At 53.6% G+C, this 17,985-nt stretch overlaps 1 protein-coding gene across 3 annotated transcripts in view, besides 8 other annotated features; it reads left to right on the top strand.

Moving 5' to 3' along the window:
* The window catches only part of HS1BP3 (HCLS1 binding protein 3), a 97,238-nt gene that overhangs the window by 71,012 nt on the left and 8,241 nt on the right, over positions 1-17,985 (top strand). The window lies entirely within an intron of this gene.
* Positions 41-1,553: an enhancer, noted in NCBI's record as "VISTA enhancer hs2384". NCBI's record gives its function as "enhancer in: heart[10/10] | other[5/10] | ear[7/10]" and the evidence as "EXISTENCE:transgenic organism evidence [ECO:0001131][PMID:17130149]".
* Positions 55-1,254: an enhancer, noted in NCBI's record as "CDK7 strongly-dependent group 2 enhancer chr2:20778593-20779792 (GRCh37/hg19 assembly coordinates)". NCBI's record gives its function as "activates an origin of replication core promoter dependent on BRD2, BRD4, P300/CBP, MED14 and CDK7 cofactors, with strong dependence on CDK7, by STARR-seq in HCT116 cells {active_cell/tissue: HCT116}" and the evidence as "EXISTENCE:reporter gene assay evidence [ECO:0000049][PMID:35650434]".
* Positions 497-556: an enhancer, noted in NCBI's record as "active region_15395". NCBI's record gives its function as "activates an Ori minimal core promoter by ATAC-STARR-seq in GM12878 lymphoblastoid cells {active_cell/tissue: GM12878}" and the evidence as "EXISTENCE:reporter gene assay evidence [ECO:0000049][PMID:35858748]".
* Positions 747-1,076: an enhancer, noted in NCBI's record as "active region_15394". NCBI's record gives its function as "activates an Ori minimal core promoter by ATAC-STARR-seq in GM12878 lymphoblastoid cells {active_cell/tissue: GM12878}" and the evidence as "EXISTENCE:reporter gene assay evidence [ECO:0000049][PMID:35858748]".
* Positions 3,176-3,315: an enhancer, noted in NCBI's record as "active region_15393". NCBI's record gives its function as "activates an Ori minimal core promoter by ATAC-STARR-seq in GM12878 lymphoblastoid cells {active_cell/tissue: GM12878}" and the evidence as "EXISTENCE:reporter gene assay evidence [ECO:0000049][PMID:35858748]".
* Positions 4,423-4,923: an enhancer, noted in NCBI's record as "H3K4me1 hESC enhancer chr2:20774924-20775424 (GRCh37/hg19 assembly coordinates)". NCBI's record gives its function as "activates a minimal SCP1, AML or CMV promoter by ChIP-STARR-seq in primed H9 embryonic stem cells {active_cell/tissue: H9 hESC(primed)}" and the evidence as "EXISTENCE:reporter gene assay evidence [ECO:0000049][PMID:30033119]".
* Positions 8,010-8,510: an enhancer, noted in NCBI's record as "H3K4me1 hESC enhancer chr2:20771337-20771837 (GRCh37/hg19 assembly coordinates)". NCBI's record gives its function as "activates a minimal SCP1, AML or CMV promoter by ChIP-STARR-seq in primed H9 embryonic stem cells {active_cell/tissue: H9 hESC(primed)}" and the evidence as "EXISTENCE:reporter gene assay evidence [ECO:0000049][PMID:30033119]".
* Positions 15,314-16,270: an enhancer, noted in NCBI's record as "H3K4me1 hESC enhancer chr2:20763577-20764533 (GRCh37/hg19 assembly coordinates)". NCBI's record gives its function as "activates a minimal SCP1, AML or CMV promoter by ChIP-STARR-seq in primed H9 embryonic stem cells {active_cell/tissue: H9 hESC(primed)}" and the evidence as "EXISTENCE:reporter gene assay evidence [ECO:0000049][PMID:30033119]".

The raw sequence follows: 17,985 nt of genomic DNA, 5'->3' as shown, positions 1-17,985 counted from the left end.
CCTGGGTGTGGGCCAAATTGTGGGTAGACTGTGGGTATGAGTTCAGGGAGTTTCTGCCCTAGATAAGGGTATGTAGATTAGGATAGAAACAGATCCACAAACAAAACATTTTCACTTACATTTTAAAGGCAGGAGGAAGAGAGAAGTGGGAAGGAAAGATCACATGCAGAACCTTTGTAGGTGCAAGGCCTGAGCCTGGAACTTTATGTGCCTTACGTTAGGTCATCCTCACAATAGCTTTGTCTTTTTTGAATGATTTTCTCCATTTGAAAAATGAAGACAGAAGAATCAGTGAGTCTTGGAGACTTAAACCATGGCTCAGAACCCAGGTTTTCTGCTTCCCAGCCAGGCCCTGGTCCTGGAGGGAGGGTATTCCCGTGGGACTTGTGGGTAGGTGACTTGGTATTGGTTTTCCTCTTGTCACAGGGTCCCAGGCAGCTCAGTGGGCCCCCACCTCCCAGAAAGAGTATGGGTTATGGAGGACTAGGGAGAAAACACAAATGACCCCATTGAGCCTGGTATGCCGGGGGGCTTCCAAGGCAAACAATGGCTCTCTGTGTCTGGTTTCTCTGAGGGCCGGAAGTCTCCAATGCATGGCCAACTGATGAGTCATGCAGGATATCTCCTGGGCCCAGCTTTGTTGTGCCGGAGGATCTTTCAGCCCAGCCTGAAATGGCAGATGATCTCATCAGGCTGGATCTGGGGAAGCCCTGTCTCTCGAAGTCCCGGTAGGCTCACGGCCCACTAACAGCCAGGAGGCTGGATGCTCTGGCCTTGAGACAGTTCCCGGAGGCACCCTATAGATGCTGGGCAGCTGCCGCCAACCCTCAGCCAGCTCGGATGGAGCCAGCCTGGAGGAAAAGGCTCCTGTGCTCATGGAACCCAGGGAAACCCCCGCTTTGTTCTCTCTGGACACAGCACGTGTCTGGTGGCCGCCCAGCCTCAGCTGTGTCCTGTAGAGTTTCCTGGACTTAACAGAAGCCTCCAGATGAGCATATTAGGAGTGCCCCAGGGAGGACTGACCTGAGACCGGAAGGAAGTCAAGGGCTTCAGTGGCCACCAAACCTGGCTCAGCCTGTGAGGCTTGGGAGGGGACACCGCCTGACTTTCCACTTGGCTGCCTTCAACAGAGGTTTCAGAAACAGAAAGCCTTGTAGTACTGAGGCTATTTTTAATGTTTTGAACCTGGACATTGCTGTTACTGTTGATGTTTCATGTACACCCCACTGGTTGATACAGAGCATGGCTCCAGAGTCACAGCTACACACCCAGGGACTCTGGCCTTGAGCAAATTACTTTCCCATTCTGAGCCTCAGTTTCCTCCCCTGTCCAGTGCAGGTGGCAGTACTGCTCCCAGGGCTGTCATGAGCATGTAGGAGATTGCCTACGCCCAGTGCCTCACCCATGGCCAGCCCTCAGTGAATGGTGGTCCTCTCTCTTCTCTTCATTCCTCTTGAGCTTTGAAGAGGTTCTTGGCTGGGCATCTATTCTTATTCACCTCCCAGAGGGTCTGGCCTGAACATGTTCCTTGGGAATGCCCATCTTTCCTCGGGATATAGGTGGTGTGTGGGGCTGCCTGCGAGAGCCTCCGGGCAAGAACTGCCCCGGTTGTCCAAGGGCCAAAGATGGTGTCATCACTGCCCTCAGCTGGGGCTCTACTTCTGGTTGGTTACCATGGTGAGCAACTTTTCAGAGGACAGCCCAGAGAGACATGCTAGGGTAGAGCCTCAGGGCCCAGGTAATAGGTGTGGGGCTCTGCCCTGAAAACCATGGAGACCAAGTCCCCTCCTATGAAGACTGCATCCCATCCCGCCTCTGAGGGCAGCCCTGGAGCCACTTAGGAGCCACAGGTAGGACGCTAGGCACTGGTCAAGAGAGGCTGTTCCCACCCCCACCCTGTGCCACTCTCCCGAGCCCTGATTCAAGGGCACAGCCACGTGAGCCTGCTTCCTGCACCCCTTGCCAGGGATCAGCAAGTTGCCTGAGGGGACATGATGCAGCTTGGAGTGTTCCATGCCAGAGGTCCCCAGCCGGCTGGATCATGATGAGACATCAGGCACGTTACTCAGTCTTTGCAGATCCATGGCCCCTGGCCACAACCTACTCAGCTGTGAAGGGGGTTGAAGTCACACTGGACAGGCTTGAGGAACGAGTGCCCTGAGGCAGGCCTGGAAATGTGTTTGCAGGTGGTTCTGATACATCAGCATATGAATCATTGATCTGATCAGTATAACAGAACCCTGGAAGCCCAATCCCCATCCAGCCCCAGTGCCGGGGAGTGTAGCTTAGACAATACCCCCTCATACTTTAATCTGCTGCTCCAAGAATGCGACCTAGCCTGAGGTTCAGAGGCCTGGCAATTCCAGCTCATGCACCCGGCCTGAGTTGGTCTGGCCTCTGCTTGCCTCCATCTCTGGACCCTCTCTCCCTCCCAGGCTGCAGCCACAGACAGGCACTCTTACGCTCCCAGATGGCGGTGCTGGGAGGTGCCCCTCACCTTGGGCCTGGAGGCTCTTTCTTCCTATGCCCCTGGTGGAGCTGGGGGGACACCTCCAAGCCGCTAACATGTCACAGGAAATGCAGGGAGACAGGAAGATTGCATGGTCTAGAACTTCTCTCTGGGAGATCGCTGCACTTGTTTCAAAGGAAGCCCTGGACAAGGCCCTTGGGGTAAAACAACCCCAAGAATCATGCTCTTCCCCAGCCAATGGTTGGGAAGCTTTTTAAGGAGTCCAGGCCTACTAGCCTTGGGTCTTTCTGAAGGGCTGGGTTTGGGCTGGGACTGAACCTCCTGGGTCCATCAGGAGGGTCCCCCTTTCCCACCCTCTCCCCACTCAGCTCCCAGGCCCTCCCCGATACGGAAATATTAACTCAATTGTACATGAATATCAGTGTGTCATGCCCCCAGTCCTTAATCTCCCTGGAACCCCAAGTCCTTCACTTGCCCTGGGCCACCCCACATCTCCATCTAGGCCCAGTGACAAGCCCTTGTTTACTCTGAAAACCCAACTCAAACGGCAATTCCCTTGTAAATTCTCCCATAAATTTCCTTGTAAATACTCTTCCCAGGTAAATTCCCAGGGCATTCCCAGGAACCATCCATCCTAGACATCCCAATGGGAAAAGATTTGTAAGTGGGAATTCTGTTCCCCATCATTTGTTTGCCACTGACCAAAAGGATATGACTAGGTGTCCTTCAATTCTTAGAAAGCAACTGCTTCTATACGTAACCGAAACAGAAACAGAAACTTCAGCCTGCATAGTCCCTCTGGTGATAAGTTCAGCTTCCGGGAGGCAGGCAAGACCCAAGAAATAGTGTAGACTCAGTGTGACAGGTCAACTTCCATTTCTGTTGTGGAATAAAAAGTCCCTAGATTGTGGGCCCCATTAAGGGTACCATTCAAGGCCTCCGTCTCTCTCAGAACTTCTGGGGGTAGCAGTATTTGTTGGCACCTGCCATATGCCAGGCACTTTACAGTACAATGAGGGAGGCGATCCTGTTCCCACTTTAGAGAGAAGGTCGTGTAGCTAGAATGTGGCAGATTCCAGCCCTCCTCTGATATTTTCAGGCTCTAGACTAGAGCCTCAGGGAGGTCTCAGGCCAGAGAGGAGATAAGACTGCAAAGCATGGAAAACGGGACGCCTGAGCTAAGCCCTCAGTGGCAGGAGGAGCTGTACTGGGCAGGCTTCTCAGAGGAGGTGAGGTTCCAGCTGGTTCTCTGAGGACAGGAAAAGAGGAGGAACACATAGAGTCCATATGAAGGAAACAACTTAGGCAAAGATTGAGCAGAAAGAAACCTCACATAGCCGGGTGCAATGGCTCACACCTATAATCCCAGAACACTTTGGAGGCCGAGGTAGGAGGATCACTTGAGCCTAGGAGTTCAGGACCAGCCTGGACAACACGGTGAGATCCTATCTCTACAAAAACTAAAAGAAAATTAGCCAGTCATGGTGACATATACCTGTAGTCCCAGCTACTTGGGAGGCTAAAACAGGAGGATCGGGAGATTGAGGTTGCAGTGAGCTGCGGTCATGCCACTGCACTCCAGCCTGGGAGAGAACAAGACCCTGTCTCAAAAAACAAAACAAAACAAAACAAAGATGGAAATGGGTGGGACAGGTTTTTCAGGTCCCCCTCCCCAGTCCCCTTCCCCCATTGCCTGTCAGGAACTTCTCAAGCATTCATTTTTATAAATAGCTACCTTTTAAAAAGCAACTCCTCATGTGTGGGTATCAGGGCCTAACAGTCACTCACATTGTAAATTAATTTCCCAGCTGCTCCTGTCCTCCCTTGCTGGGGTAGCCTGAAGGGGGGGGGGGGGGTGGAACCAAGGAGACAGAGGCGTTGCTGCCAGGCCCCCGTGTGGAAGAGCCCAGGCACATGGGCCAGGCCCGTGGATAAGGAATGCCGGGCCTTGAGGCACAAACCTGGAGAGGGGAGGAGGCAGGAGGCACACTGTGGCTTTCTCCCCAGTGCCTGGCTCCTCACCTGGCATGTGGCGGGGCCTCCAGGGATGCTGCAAGAGGGACTTACTACCCTTTGGGAGTCTAAAATATGTGGGCAGAGTGTGGCTGGGCAGCCAGGGAACTGGGCTGCATGTTGAGACCAAACAGGGTCTTGGAGTGTCAGAGCTAGAGAGGAAGGGGTGGGCCCTTTTTGGTATTTTCTGATTGTCAGAGTCAGCTGATGGGTTGAAATAAGCCCAGGAGGCTTTGGACTAGGGCTTCCAGGCTCAGGGATTGACACTATGTGTCTCTGGCCTTCCTGTCCCTAGCCCTGCCTGTCCAGGCTGCGGCCCTGATTCAGGTAAATGTCCCACCAGGCTCCTCACCCTTGGAACGAGGCCTAGAGCTCAGCAAATGCTTCCCTTGAGGGTGTGAATGACCACAGGACAAAACTCCAGAGCCCATTGTTCCAAAAGTTCCAGAGAAATCCAAACAAATGCCCAACAACAATATGGGGGTGAGTAGCAAGTGCAGAAAAGTCCCGGGCTTTGTCCTTAGGCATCCAGACGTTTACGTTGTCTGCATTAATGAGCTAGGAAATGGTTCTTTTTACGCCAGTAATAACAACCACTCCTGTGTTCTCATTTAATCCTGGCAAAAACCAAGTAAGGCCAACATTATCATCCCAGTTATGCAGAGGAGGGGATTGAGGCTCCAAGAGGACCCCTGATTTCCCCACAGTTCCACGGTTAGTAGATAACCATGCTGGTACTTGAACCCAGGGTCCCGACTTCTCTCCTAGCTCAGTTCAGTGGATCTGCTGCCCTGATCCAGGGACAGGATTGGCTCCCAATGTGGACACAGCAGATAAGGAAGCAGACCCCTGTGAGGTGTCCAGGAGGCCAGGCTTGCCCAGCACTGCCTGCCCGGGTGCTGCTGGGGGAAGCCAGGTGCCCACTGAGTGGGGCTGGCCAGGTCACTGTCATCTCATCCACCGAGGCTGACCATGCTTTCTGCTATACAGTCACTCATTTTTCCTGGCCATGCAGCACTCATTCCTTCCCAGTGATCCCCTGGCCCTCCAGGGCTCTGAAATGAGGTATGCCCCAGGTCTTCCTCTCCCAGTCCAGCTCAACCCTGCTTGCCAAGCCTAGGGCCCTTCGCAGTGGTGGGAAAAAGGAGGCAGCCATGGATAAGACACTTGCAGAAAGTTAGCAATTGACTGAATCTCCTCAAACACTACAAGATTTTCATGGGCTAATATCTTCAGCAGAAAAAGAAAAATTGCTGAACTCATAAATTGTGATTTTGCATGCTCATCTATTTCCAGAGCGCCTTGCTAGATAACTAAGAGCTTGTTCTTTGATTATGGCCATTTAGTAAATGGGATCTAACAGGCTTGTTTTGAGTCTCACGAGCCTTGCAGTTTGCTCCAAGAAGCTGTCTGTTCCAGCGCTTCCATCTGGCAGATGGCCTCACTGTGATGCACTCAGAAGTCAGGAGAACCGCAGCATCAACAGAAGCACAATTAATCAGTGCAATTGTTTTCCCTGCTGTGAACATGACACTTCCCTGGGTTTTTGAGGGCAACCCACACAGGAAGGACCTAGTTTTGCATTCTCTATGGCATTCAAAACCATGTTGAGTGTCCAAGAAGCTTTTGTTTCTGACATTGGTCTTCCTGTTCATTCTCTATGTCCCTGAAAACACTGCTGCAGTCACCAACCAGGCCACCATGCAGGGCAGCAAAGCGCTTGGCCCTCCTTGTCCTGGTGGGGATGGCGGTGTTGTGTCTCACAAGGAGTCTGAAGTTACCTCGAGGTCAGCACCGATGAATGGTCCTGACCGGAGGCTGTCTGGATTCCGGGCTTTGCTAATTGTTATTTTTATGAGAAAATTACTTGTTTTTGTTCCTTGCAGACCAGAAGGAGGAAAACAACTTAAACTAGTAGCTGAACAGGAAGGGGAAGCCCATAGCTCCCTAATGAGATATCAGCTGAGAGCTGTGGATTTGTGGAGCCTCTGGAAGCAAAGGCCCGGGAGGCTGCGACTCCTTTAGAGCTGTTGGCCCAGCCCGAGCCAGGCCTTTTTTGGGAACCTGTGAATCTCAGGTTTTCAGTCTACAAAATGACAACTCAAAACCTGCTGAATTATGTGATCCTCAGGATTAAAAGCAGTTAGGGGCTTGGGGGGTCTCCCTGGGAAGAACAAGTAACAAAGAGACTCAAAGTACCACGGGTTGTGGTGGAGACAGAGGACCCCATGGTTAAAGAGGAGAGGGTGGTTTAAACACAGAAATTTATTCTCTCACAGTTCCAGAGGCCTGAAGTTCAAAACCAAGGTGTCAGCAGGCCCATGCTCCCTCTGAAGGCTCTCGGGGAGAATGCTTTGCCCCTCTAGCTTCTGGAGGCTCCGGGCATGTAGACCTACCCTAAATCCAGAAAAGTCTCATCCCAAGACCTTCAGCTTAATTATATCAGCAAAGACTGTGTTTCCAGGTAAGATCTTGTTCCCAGGTACCAGGGGTTAGAACTTGGACATATCTTTTGGGTGGACACCATTCAACCCACTACAGTGACATTTACAGATTCTAGGGATTAGAGTCTGTTATCTTGGGGGTACTTTTGGTAGTATTCTGCCTACCACATTCTCTATGTTGCGGTGGCTACCAGTAGGCTGTGGCCCTGGGGACCACAGAGTGATGGGCTATGCTGGCAGACAGGAAGGCTGCCCAGGCCCCTCTGCTCCCATGGGGCTTGGCAGGGAGCAGTTAGAAGTGCAAGGAGCACAGCTGCAGCCCTGGAGCAGGGGCCACCTGTGTTCCTGTCCACAGATTCCTGAGCAGGCCCAGTGACCCCCAAACAGATGGGAAGGACAGGCTGGGAGCTGATCCCCGGGCTCCAGTACCCTGAAGAGACAGGAGGAAGGAGCCTCTGAAGATTACAATAATCACTGCCATTTATTGAAGACCTTCCATGTTCGAGGTACTTTTCTTCATTGTGTAACTTAATCCTTATAATAATTCTAACCATTTTACAGATAAGGATACTGAGGCTCAAAGAGCTTTCATAACCTGACCGAGATCTCACAGTTGAGTGAGAAAAAAAAACAAAATAAGAACTCAGGTTGGTTGGAGGACAAAGTCCTTGGTTTTTCACGACATCATGCTGTCTCTCTGTATAACAAACTTAAAGTTCTAAATCACCAGCATAGGGTGGAGTAGGGTACGGGGACAGGACTCCAGAGTCCTGGGGCTACACGAAGACCTGAGTCAGAAGTCTCTGTAGCCCCATAGCCTGTGTCATCAGGGACGGAGGAAGTGTTCTGATAGGAACAGAGGAAAAATGGCCCCAACCTAGAAATCTTGGTGTTCTGAGCTGGAAGGAGGCAGCAGAGCCTGGAAAGAGCCTGAGCAGAACTACATGAGGGGTTGGCAGCAGAGCCAGGCCTGAGCCCTGCTTCCCAGCCTCTCCCCTGGGCCGCCCTGCCCCTTCAAGGAAAGACTTCAGAACCGAGCCAGCTCTTGAGCCATCAGAAAGGAAAGAGTGCAGGGGGTAAAACCAAAAGCCTCAGTCTCAGTCCCAGCCCTTGCTCTTAGCTCTGTGACTTTAGATATGACTCAACCTCTCTGAGCCTGGAGTCCTTGGAAATAAGATGAGGCAAGAGGGGAGCAGGCCTGCGGGGATCTGAGAGAAGGGGGAATCTCCATTCCTGGCCTCGGTGCTCCGGCCTGCTGGAGAAGAGCAGGCAGGACCATGTCACCTGAGTGGCCTGCATTCTGGCCCAGCCCTTTGGCAGTGGCACTGGGGAGATACCAGGCTCTACTTCGAGCTCGTGAAGTGGCACCTGATGTGAGCAGGTGGACCTGGGGCACTCAGCAGGCTCCAGGGAAAGACTCCTGGGGGAAGCTCTGGTGAGCATGGGCCCAAGGCAGGGGCACAGAAGTACCCATGGGCCAGGATGTGGGCCCCAGCAGGTCCAGGAGGCTGGAGGGAGTGAGCAGTGGGAAGATCTCTCTCTGCTGCTGTCCCTTCTTCTCAGGAGGACCAATACCAGGCATCCGAGGCACGCTGTTTTTCCAACCGATGGCGCCAGTCTGTTTGGCCAATGACCTTTGGAGGGAACCAGGGCAATAAAGTTGGAAATGCCGAGGCACAGGAAAAAGGACACAAAGTCGAACAATGTGGGGAGTGTTCGGCAGGAAGAGAGGGAACAGGCCCGGGCTGCCTCACAGGCCTCTGGCTCCAAGAGTCTGGAGGTGCATGGGGTGGCCCCGGGGCTCAGGCTGTGCTGTGAGGGAGGGGCCTCTGCTAGGGCTGGGTCCCCAGCCTAGAGCTTGCTCCCCAGCCTAGGCCAGGGTGGAAAAACGCAGAGGGAGCAAGGCTGGGGGAAAGGCCTGACAGAATGGAGTGCAGCCTAAGGAAGGGGGTGCTGGGGTACCGTCAAGGAACAGCCATCTTCAGACTTGGGCCTTCAGTTTTGTTTTTTCCTTTAACCGCAAAGTCTAGCAAACACTAAGCCTCAAGGCCTGGTCTATGTCTCAGAGCAGCGGAAGAAGATGGGGACCCTGTCCCAGAAGCCGGACCCTCCCCAGTGTCCTCACTGCCCTGTCATAGGTCTTCCTCTTCTCTCTCCCTGGGTTCTGCAATCCTTCCCAGCCCTCTCCTGGCTCCCTAGTGCCTTTAGGATAAAATCCAAGCTCCCAGCCGGCATCTGAGGCCTTCCATGACCCTGCCCAGGGCTTTCTGGCCTCAGCCCGAGAGAAGCAAGCCAAACAGTGACCCTTTATGCAACAGACCCTGCTGCCCTCCTGGAAGTCACACCTCCAAACTCCTCCAGCTCAGAGAGCCACTTGCTCCAAGCCTCCAGGCCTTGCTGGCTTGTTCCCCTTTCTGAGACACCATTTCTTCTCCTCCTCCCCTAGCAGAATCTTACTAACACCTGGGAACTCACTTGGGCAGTTCTTGGGAACCACCTCTTGCTCTGTCAGCCTGGGTAGCCCCAAGATGTCCTCCATGGCCATCCTAGAATTATCATAAGGCAATTAGACATTTACCCATCTCTCTCCCACCATCCTGAGCCCTTGGGGCTGCAATGGAGGCTCTCTTTTGTCTTTATACCCATGACCAAGTTCAGCTGCCAGGCGACATCGAGTACCAATGAGCCCGGCAGCTAGGAAAGACATGATCAGCAGGACTGACAGTGGCCCTAGGGCTCAGCCGCAGCAAGCAGGTGCCCAGGGAGCATTTATGAGATGCATGAGCCCAAGAGCTCAAGTTCAGCAACCTGACGGCGATCATTTGAAGGCCAGAGAATGGAAGGAAGGTGTTTTCCCTGCTCTAGCATTCTATAAAGTTGGAAAAATGTTTACCCCAGGAGTCAGGAGATAGTGCTTTAAAACAGAAGCGGGACTCCATATTCTGGTGTCCCAGCCTAAAAGAAGGGGGAAAAAAAACTCTCTTTTCAAACGTTTCCATGAGAAGAGGGTGCTGAGGATGAGAGGAGTAGTCTCTGGGGTGTCAAAAGCCCTGGAATTGCTTGTGGCCGGGGTTAGGGGAGTAGACTGATTCAGGTGGGAGCCAGGTGCAGCCCGTTGCATAAAGGATCAATGTTCGGTTTGCTTCTCTCAGGCTGAGGCCAGAAAAGCCCTGGGCAGGGCTGGGGGCAGCCCAGAGGGACTCCTATGAATGACCAGGCAGAGGGTCCTGATCCCAGGGAGGGAGACTGTTGGGGGCTGGGGAGCAGCACCTGCCTGCCTTTTCTGGAAAGTAGAGAGAGGCGGTGGGGCAAATGGGAAGCAGGGCAAGGTTCAGGGAATGTGTGAGGCTTGGGCTTCCTGGATACTCTAGAACTTAGCCCACAGCCTGGCCTGTGACTTGAGGTCCCCTGTGCCCAACTCCAAGGGCACAGGCCAATGGTTGGGAGACTCACTGGGATCAATGGAGTCGGAGGATCAGGAGGACACTGGGAACCAGTGGGGCTGGTGACCGAGAGAGGCATGGCTGTGGGTTTGTTGGTGGACTTAGGGGAAGGGTTGCCAAGTAAAATACTGGTTACATTTGAATTTCAGATCAATGAATTTTTTTAGCCTGAGTATGTTTCAAATATTGCCTGGGAAATACTTAGACTAAAATAAGAATTTGTTGTTCATCTAAAACTCAAATTTAGTTGGGTGTCTGATATATTTCTTTGTCAAATTTGGCCACCCTATGTAGGAGTCAGCCTGTTCTGAGAGGCAGCCACAGTCTGTCCACAGGCCCAATTACAGCAGACGTTTCTAAAACAACAAAAGCCCCAGCAGCTTGCACAGAAAAACAAAATACGTAACTTCCTGAGGACACGTTATTGTCTGAAGGTGGAAGTCTGCGATTTTGAAGGAAAAAACAAAAAGTTTTCTTGTAAGGAAGAGTGAGTCACAGACAGGCTAAACATGTTTCTCTGCCTTTTGGGGGTGGTGGGACATGGGCCTCCCTTTCTCTCTCTCTCTCCTGCCTCCATTCTTTTGGCTACCCGGGAACAAGGCCCAGGCAGGCTGGGCTGGGCTGCGGCTGAGCTGTAGGGCCACTGTCAGTCCTGCTGATCATGTCATTCCTAGCTGCCGGGCTCATTGGTGCCCGAAGTCGACCAGTACTCTGCTTACCCCAGAGAGTCTCCAGCCCACTGGGACCTCAAGCCACAGACCAGGCTGTGGGCTAAGCTTTGGAGTGACCAAGACGGCCTCGAGGGCAATCTCCTTGCCAGCAGTAGAGAGGATGCTGATGAGTCCCTTGGGAGGTCCCAACTGAGCTCTGGGGCTCAGAGCTGGGAGAGGCTGCCAAGATCTGCCTGTCCCTCATCAGGTGGGAACTCTTCGAGATAAGCACTATGTCTTATGGTTCTCCATCCTGTCCCCAACACAGGGCCTGGCCTATCACGGTGAGTGTGGAATGGGATGTGGCCTGGGCAGCTGCCCAGCCCTGGGCCCTGAGCTCCTTCCAGGAGCTGCTGCCACAGACAGGCAGATGTGTCAGCATGGCTGGGCCATGGCAGGCCTGGGAGCCTCCTGATTTGGTTCCTGTCACCTCCTCCCTCACCTCCTGTCTAGTCCCCAGACAAAGGGCCCAGTTACAAGCCACAAGTCTGATCCTGTTGCTGCTCTGCTTAAAACCTGACAGGGCTTCCATCTCACCCCGAGTGAACACTGAAGCCTGACGGCGGCCCAGGCTTGGCCCCTTCCTCCATTACCCGCCCGGCTCCAGCTCCTAGGAACCCCCACCACGTGCTGACCCTGCTCTTCTTGCTGTTCCCTGAACAGACTGGGGTTTCTGCACTTGCTGCTCCTTTTTCCTAGAATGTTCTTCCCCAGGTAGCCACGGGACTCCTTCCCGCCCTCCTCTAAGTCATTCCTGACCACGTGTGAGACTGCAGCCCCCTACCCCGCACCCCCCAGCACCACCTTTCTCCTCCTGTGAGGCTCTTTCTCCTGCTAGAACTGACTTGGGTTTGTGTCTGTCTCCAGCTAGAATGGCCCTGAGTATAGGGATTCATTTCTCTTTTGTTCTAGGCCCTTAGCTTCTAGGACAGTCTGGGCAGTCAGCAGGTCAGGGGTGGTGGGGGTGGTCCTGAGGCACTGAGCGAGACCAGCCCTAGAGGAGCAGGTGAGGAGGGGGCTGGAGCTGCCCTCCTAGGGGACTGACTGTTCAAATGACCTCCAGAGAGCCCCTGGGGACGTTGAGTTCCCCCTCGGTGCTGGGGGCCAGCTGTGGGAGCCACATCTGCATCATTGGAACTCATCTCCTCTTTCTTGAAGCTGCTGCAAACTTGGGGTCAGGTTCCACTGGCACGGAAGGGACACTGTGGGTCCTAAGGAGGGAAGCTCAGCTACTCCCAGGGACTGGGGTGAAAGGGCAAGGTCACAGGTCAGAGAGTGACCTTTCTAGCCTGCGGTCAGTCCTCTGGGCACAAAGGCAGCCTCTCCTCTGTCTGCAGGAGCCTGGAGACTGTCTGGCCCCACGGCATTCCAGGCATTCTTTGGGGTCCTAGTGGCCGGGGGCTGTGTCTGGGGGGGAAGTAGGTCTTTATGCCAGTGAGGAAGTGTCTGGCTGATCGCAGACCCCCTTTGTTTGGCTGCCAGCACCACATGCCTTCCTCAGGCCTCTCTGTCTTAACGAACTTACCAGCAGGGGCGAGGGTGGGTATGGGGACTGGGATACTTGGGGCCGGGCCCTCCTGTGGCCCTGCAAGCACAGAGCCCCTTGATTCCCCAGCGTCTGACTGGCCTGGCCTCAGGCAGCCCAGTAGGAATCAGTGTGAGGGCAAGGCTGAGATGCCCCCAGCTTCTGCCCCCTTGTTCTAGAAGCAGCACCTTACAGGGAATGTGGCTTGACCAGTGGAAGGAACTTGAGTCCGGGGGTCACCCATATTGATGTGAGTCCCGTGCTGCTGCCACTTACTAAGGATGTGACCTTTTCTCAGTAACATCAAGTCAACTCCCAAGTCTCGGTGTTGTCGTCTGTAAAACGAACTAGTAATATTCATCAGATCGTGTTATTGACAGATTAGATGAATCTGTGTGATGGTGAGCAGGGTGGCTTCTAGCACATGCAGGCACCCAATACCCGTGACTTCCATGGTGTCAGGAGATTCTGAGAGGGGGACAGAGTAGGAGAAACTCAATCCTTGTTCTCAGGGGTTCAGGGGCTAGAAGGGTAGTGAAGGGACCTCTAGGAATGGGAAAAGAGAACCTGTGGGGGGCCAGCCTTGGTGGCTCATGCCTGTGATCCCAGCACTTTGGGAGGCTGAGGCAGGCAGATCACCTGAGGTCAGGAGTTTGAGACCAGCCTGGCCAACTTGGTGAAACCCCGTCTCTACTAAAAATACAAAAATTAGCTGGGCATGGTGGTGTGTGCCTGTAATCCCAGCTAGTCGGGAGGCTGAGGCAGGAGAATCGCTTGAGCCCAGGAGGCAGGGTTTGCAGTGAGCTGAGATCGCGCCATTGCACTCCAGCCTGGGTGACAAGAGCAAAACTCCATCTCAAAAAAAAAAACAAAAAAAAAAACCTGTGACAAACTCCATCCCTGGCCTCACAGCTGCCTGTCACTGCAGCCAAGAGAGAAGTGCCTAGAGCTAGAGCCAGAGTGCAGGTGGCCAGAGTGAGCAAGTGATGCCTGCTCCTCCTTGTCTTCCTTGACCAGAGAGCCAGGGAACAGGAGACCCAGTGTGACTCTGAGGGCTTTGGACCCACAGGTGCTCAGGCCACTGGGGCAGAAATGCTGAGAGCTGGGAGTCACCCCACCCGGACCCACATACTACAGATCCCTGGGCAGTTCAGAGACTCAGCTGGGAAGGAGTCAGCCCAAGCAGTGTCTGTGTCTCCCTTAGAGCTGTACCCCGGCACAGGCGGGGGAGATGGGCAGTTATAGGGGAAACATCTTGAACTCTACTGCAGGGGAATAAGTCTGGCTGCCAAAGGAAGGGCTCCCCAAGGAGTGAACTCCCTGTCAGTGCCGGGATGGGGCAAAGCTGGTGAGTGTAGCAGGAGCTGCAGAGCCTCCTGTCCTGGGAAATGAGCTGGGAGTTCCTAGAGGGGCAGGGTGGGCTGTTTGCTAACTGCGACCTTGGTGGAGTTTGTTAAGCCCTTTCCTCATTAGTGAAATAGGGTTGTCATAACTACCATACCAGGAAGCAATGCGTATGTGGTAGCTAGCTTGGAGCGCTCAGCCATGAATGATGGCTGTTCTTTTTCCATGGAAGCCTTGGCCTGTGAGGCAGCACATTCCAGTTCCAGCCCTGACTCTACATCCATCTCACTGCGCAGGCTCCAGCAGGGCTCCGGCTCTCTGGGCTGCTGCTGTCCCGCTATATCCTGAGAGGAGTGACAAAACCCTGCTCTGACCTGCCTGGTGGCTTTGGCTTGGCCCTGGAGAGCCCTGCTCCCTGTTGGTGGAGCAGGATCAGAGGTTCCACATTCATCTTCCAGTGGGATGAGTGCAGCTGTTATTAGACGTACCCTAGTTGCAGGGTGTGCTGACTGTCCCACGGGGTGGGGTTGGCCTGCCCGGGAGGGGCTGTCCCCACCACCACCCTTTCCTAGTTTGTGGGAGGCTACAGATGGCTGCCAGGGTCAAGCTTCAGAGGAGATCTCCTGGGTATCCCTGGGTCAGGGTATAGCAGGTGGCAGGGAGACCCACTCTGTCGAGATCATTAATTGTGGAGAGGGTCTGGCGGGGGACAGGGGATGGCATTCAGAGTGGTCCCTAGGCTGTGTGGGAAGTGGACAGGAGGGTCAGGAAGCAGGGGCCATGGAAGTGCCTGGTCCATCTGGTGGAGGAGCCACAGTCTTGGGTGAGAGCAGGCTGTGGGCGACACGGGGGCTGCTGCCCTGGGTGAGTGTGCAGCAATTGCACCCTGGGTATGGCCTCACCCCATTTTATCCCCTATACACAGCCGGGCACTGAGCTGGGGGCTAGCTCTGCTCTGGGCCTCCTAGTCTTAGGTCTTTGCTGGCTAACTGAGCCACAATTTTGTGTCTTCCCACAGAGACTGTTGGACCTGCTGCTGGGAAGAAGTGGGTAACCTGCTCTCAAGCTCCAGCATTTGGCAGGTTAAGGCCATGATCCCAGTCTGGGCTGTTGCTAATGTCCCTCTCCACTTCCTGAGCCCCCAAAGAACAGGGCAGAGCCTGCAGCACGATGCCTACTTGTCTGCCATGCAGGAGGAAGTGACCAAGGGAGGCTGATGCCACCCTCTGAGTCCTGGTGGTGGAAGTTCTGCCTCTGTAGGTGCCTTTTCCATACAGTGTGGCAGTACCTCCATTCTCAGTGAGGAGAGACCCATAAAATGACTCTCCAAACACAAATAGAAAGGCTATTTCTGGGCCGGGCATGGTGGCTCACACCTGTAATCTCAGCACTTTGGGAGGCTGAGGCGGGCAGATTACCTGAGATCAGGAGTTCGAGACCAGCCTGGCCAACATGGTGAAACTCCATCTCTACTAAAAATACGAAACTTACCCAGGCATGGTGGTACATGCTGGTAGTCCCAGTTATTCGGGTGGCTAAGGCATGAGAATCACTTGAATCAGGGAGGTGGAGATTGCAGTCAGCCAAGATCATACCACTGCACTCCAGCCTGGGGGACAAGTGAAACTCCATCTCAAAAAAACAAAAACAAAACAAAACAAAAAACCAGAAAGACTATTTCTGGAACTAGAAAAAGAATAAAGTGACAAGGAGTAAAGAAGAGATCACAGAAGGAACTGGCTGGTCACCAGCAGCCCTGAGGGAGCCCAGAGCTGGAGGGTGGGCCAGCTGGGGCCACGGAGGCAGCTTCTGCTCCACGTGATGGAGTCTCTGTCGGAGTCACAGCCGTCCACCCTGCAGTAGACCACCTGAGAGGTGGTGAGCTCCCCGTCATGATGGGAGCCCAAGCTGGGACTGAAAAGCACCTGTTAGAGAGACTAGAGGGGTTTCCAGCCTGAGGAAGAGGACAGCAGTGGACAAATTCTCACATGCTCTGTTGGCCCCAGATTCACTCCTTCGAGGAGCCTCCAGAGGGGCTGAGCAACAGTTCCCACGTTCACTCTGGACTTGCCGTGCTAGGATCCTAGGAGCCCTCCTTTTCCTATTCCCGTCCTCCTGGCTCTCCTCCCAGCTGATTAATAATATTATGCATGCACAACTCATCACATGTGTCACTGCTGAGTGAGACTACACTAAGTGGTTCCATTGCCCCGAGCTTCTCAAACTCTAACAGCAGAAAACCCCTTGGGGTCTGATTCAGCAGGTCTGGGGTGGGGCCTGAGACTCTGCATTTCCAACCAGCTCTCAGGGGATGTCGATACCGCTGGTCCATGAACCACACTTTGAAAAACAAAGCTGTAGCTACCAATGAGAGCCCTCTGGATTCTACTGCCAGGGTGGAGGGGTGGGCGAGTGTGAAGAAGCCCCCTGTGCAGGAATGGCAAAAGAATGGACTTAGTACTGGTGAGCTTTGTGAAGCAGAACGAAGTCCAAATCTGCCACTCTCCATCTCGGGGACCATTCCTCGTCTTCCCTGCTTGAGAAGCATAAGCCTGTGATAGGAGGGCAGCTCCACCATGGTGGACCACCCCCTGCCCCTCCACACCTGGCCCCAGGAAACTGCTTTTGCCTGTAGAAGCTCCTTATTGAGTCTGCGGACCAGTAGTGGCCCCATCAGACCACAGCTCATTGCAGGGGCCAGGCTGGGCCCTCATTGCTGGGGGTCTAACCTGAGGAGTCCCTCCTCCCCACCCCTGTTTGGCTGCTGACCACAGAGGCAACACTGTGCAGTGGCCTGCACTGGGAACCAAGGGCCTGTGGCCCTTCCCTCTCTGGGCCTCAGTTTCCCCATCTGTAATGTGTGGGTGCACTGGAGGCTGTCTTAGAGAGATCTGGCTCTGCAACCACTGGTTCAGCCTTCTGGGGTTCAGAGCAGGTGAGGATGCAAGGACATGGGGGAGAGGTGAGCATGACGAGTAGCCCCCAATGGCCTGAGCAGGGCAGGCTGGCTCCAAGAGGATGCACACGCCTTCACAGTCTCTCTCTGCACTGAGGGTTCTCAGATATTTTTAGGAAGGTCGGAGCCTCCTGGGCTGTGATTCATTAATGCAGCTGACGAAGATCAGCATCTTTGGAAATCGCAGTGGGAAGTTGAGAAGGTTCCCAGGTACTGGTGTCGCGTACTGGGGAGCGGGGAGGTTGGTGGAGAGGGAAAGTGAGGATACATGTATGGGAGTGGATAGGTATTAGGGATAGAGAAAACCAAAGTGTTTTTCTTTCTCTCATACACAGCTCAACACAATGCTTCCAACACCAGACGTGTGCGAGTTGTTTTCCCGCCACCAAGGAACTCTCCAGCAGACACCAGCTGCCTGTCTGTCCTCGCTTTGAATTCAATTCTGACACTATCCCCCTGGAGACAGCTTCTAGTCCCACAGGCTAAGGGCTCAGTCCCACAACACTGCCCCCTGCTTCAGAGGCCAATCGTGCAAGCCTGCATTGTGGCTTTCGCTTCTGATTGACTGGCTGTAAATCATGGGTTCCTGTGACCCCCTCTGCAGGTTCCATTAATTTGCTAGAGCAGCTCAAAGGACTCAGAAACACTTTACTTACATTTACCCATTAATTATATTTTACTTTTATTTTATTTTTATTTTTTAGACACAAGGTCTCACTCTGTCGCCCAGGCTAAAGTGCAGTGGAGTGATCATAGCTCACTACAGCCTCAAACTCCTGGGCTCAAGTGATCATCCTGCCTCAGCCTCCCAAGCAGCTGGGACTATAGGCACATGCTACCACAGCTGGCTAATTTTGTTTATTTTAGTAGAGATGGGGTCTTGCTATGTTGCCCAGGCTGGTGTCAAACTCCTAGCTTCAAGCATTCTTCCCACCTCAGCCTCCCAAAGTACTGGGGTTACAGGTGTGAGCCACAGTGCCTGACCTACCCATTGATTATAAAGGATGTTACAGAGGAGTCCAATGAACAGTCGGAGTTGAAAGAGATGCCTAGGGCGAGGCATGGGGAAAGGGGCATGGA

This window comes from Homo sapiens, chromosome 2 (assembly GCF_000001405.40).
Source record: "Homo sapiens chromosome 2, GRCh38.p14 Primary Assembly".
NCBI classification, from domain to species: domain Eukaryota; kingdom Metazoa; phylum Chordata; class Mammalia; order Primates; family Hominidae; genus Homo; species Homo sapiens.
The sequence above is the reverse complement of the archived record's forward strand: the minus strand, read 5'-3'. Positions and strand labels throughout refer to the sequence as shown.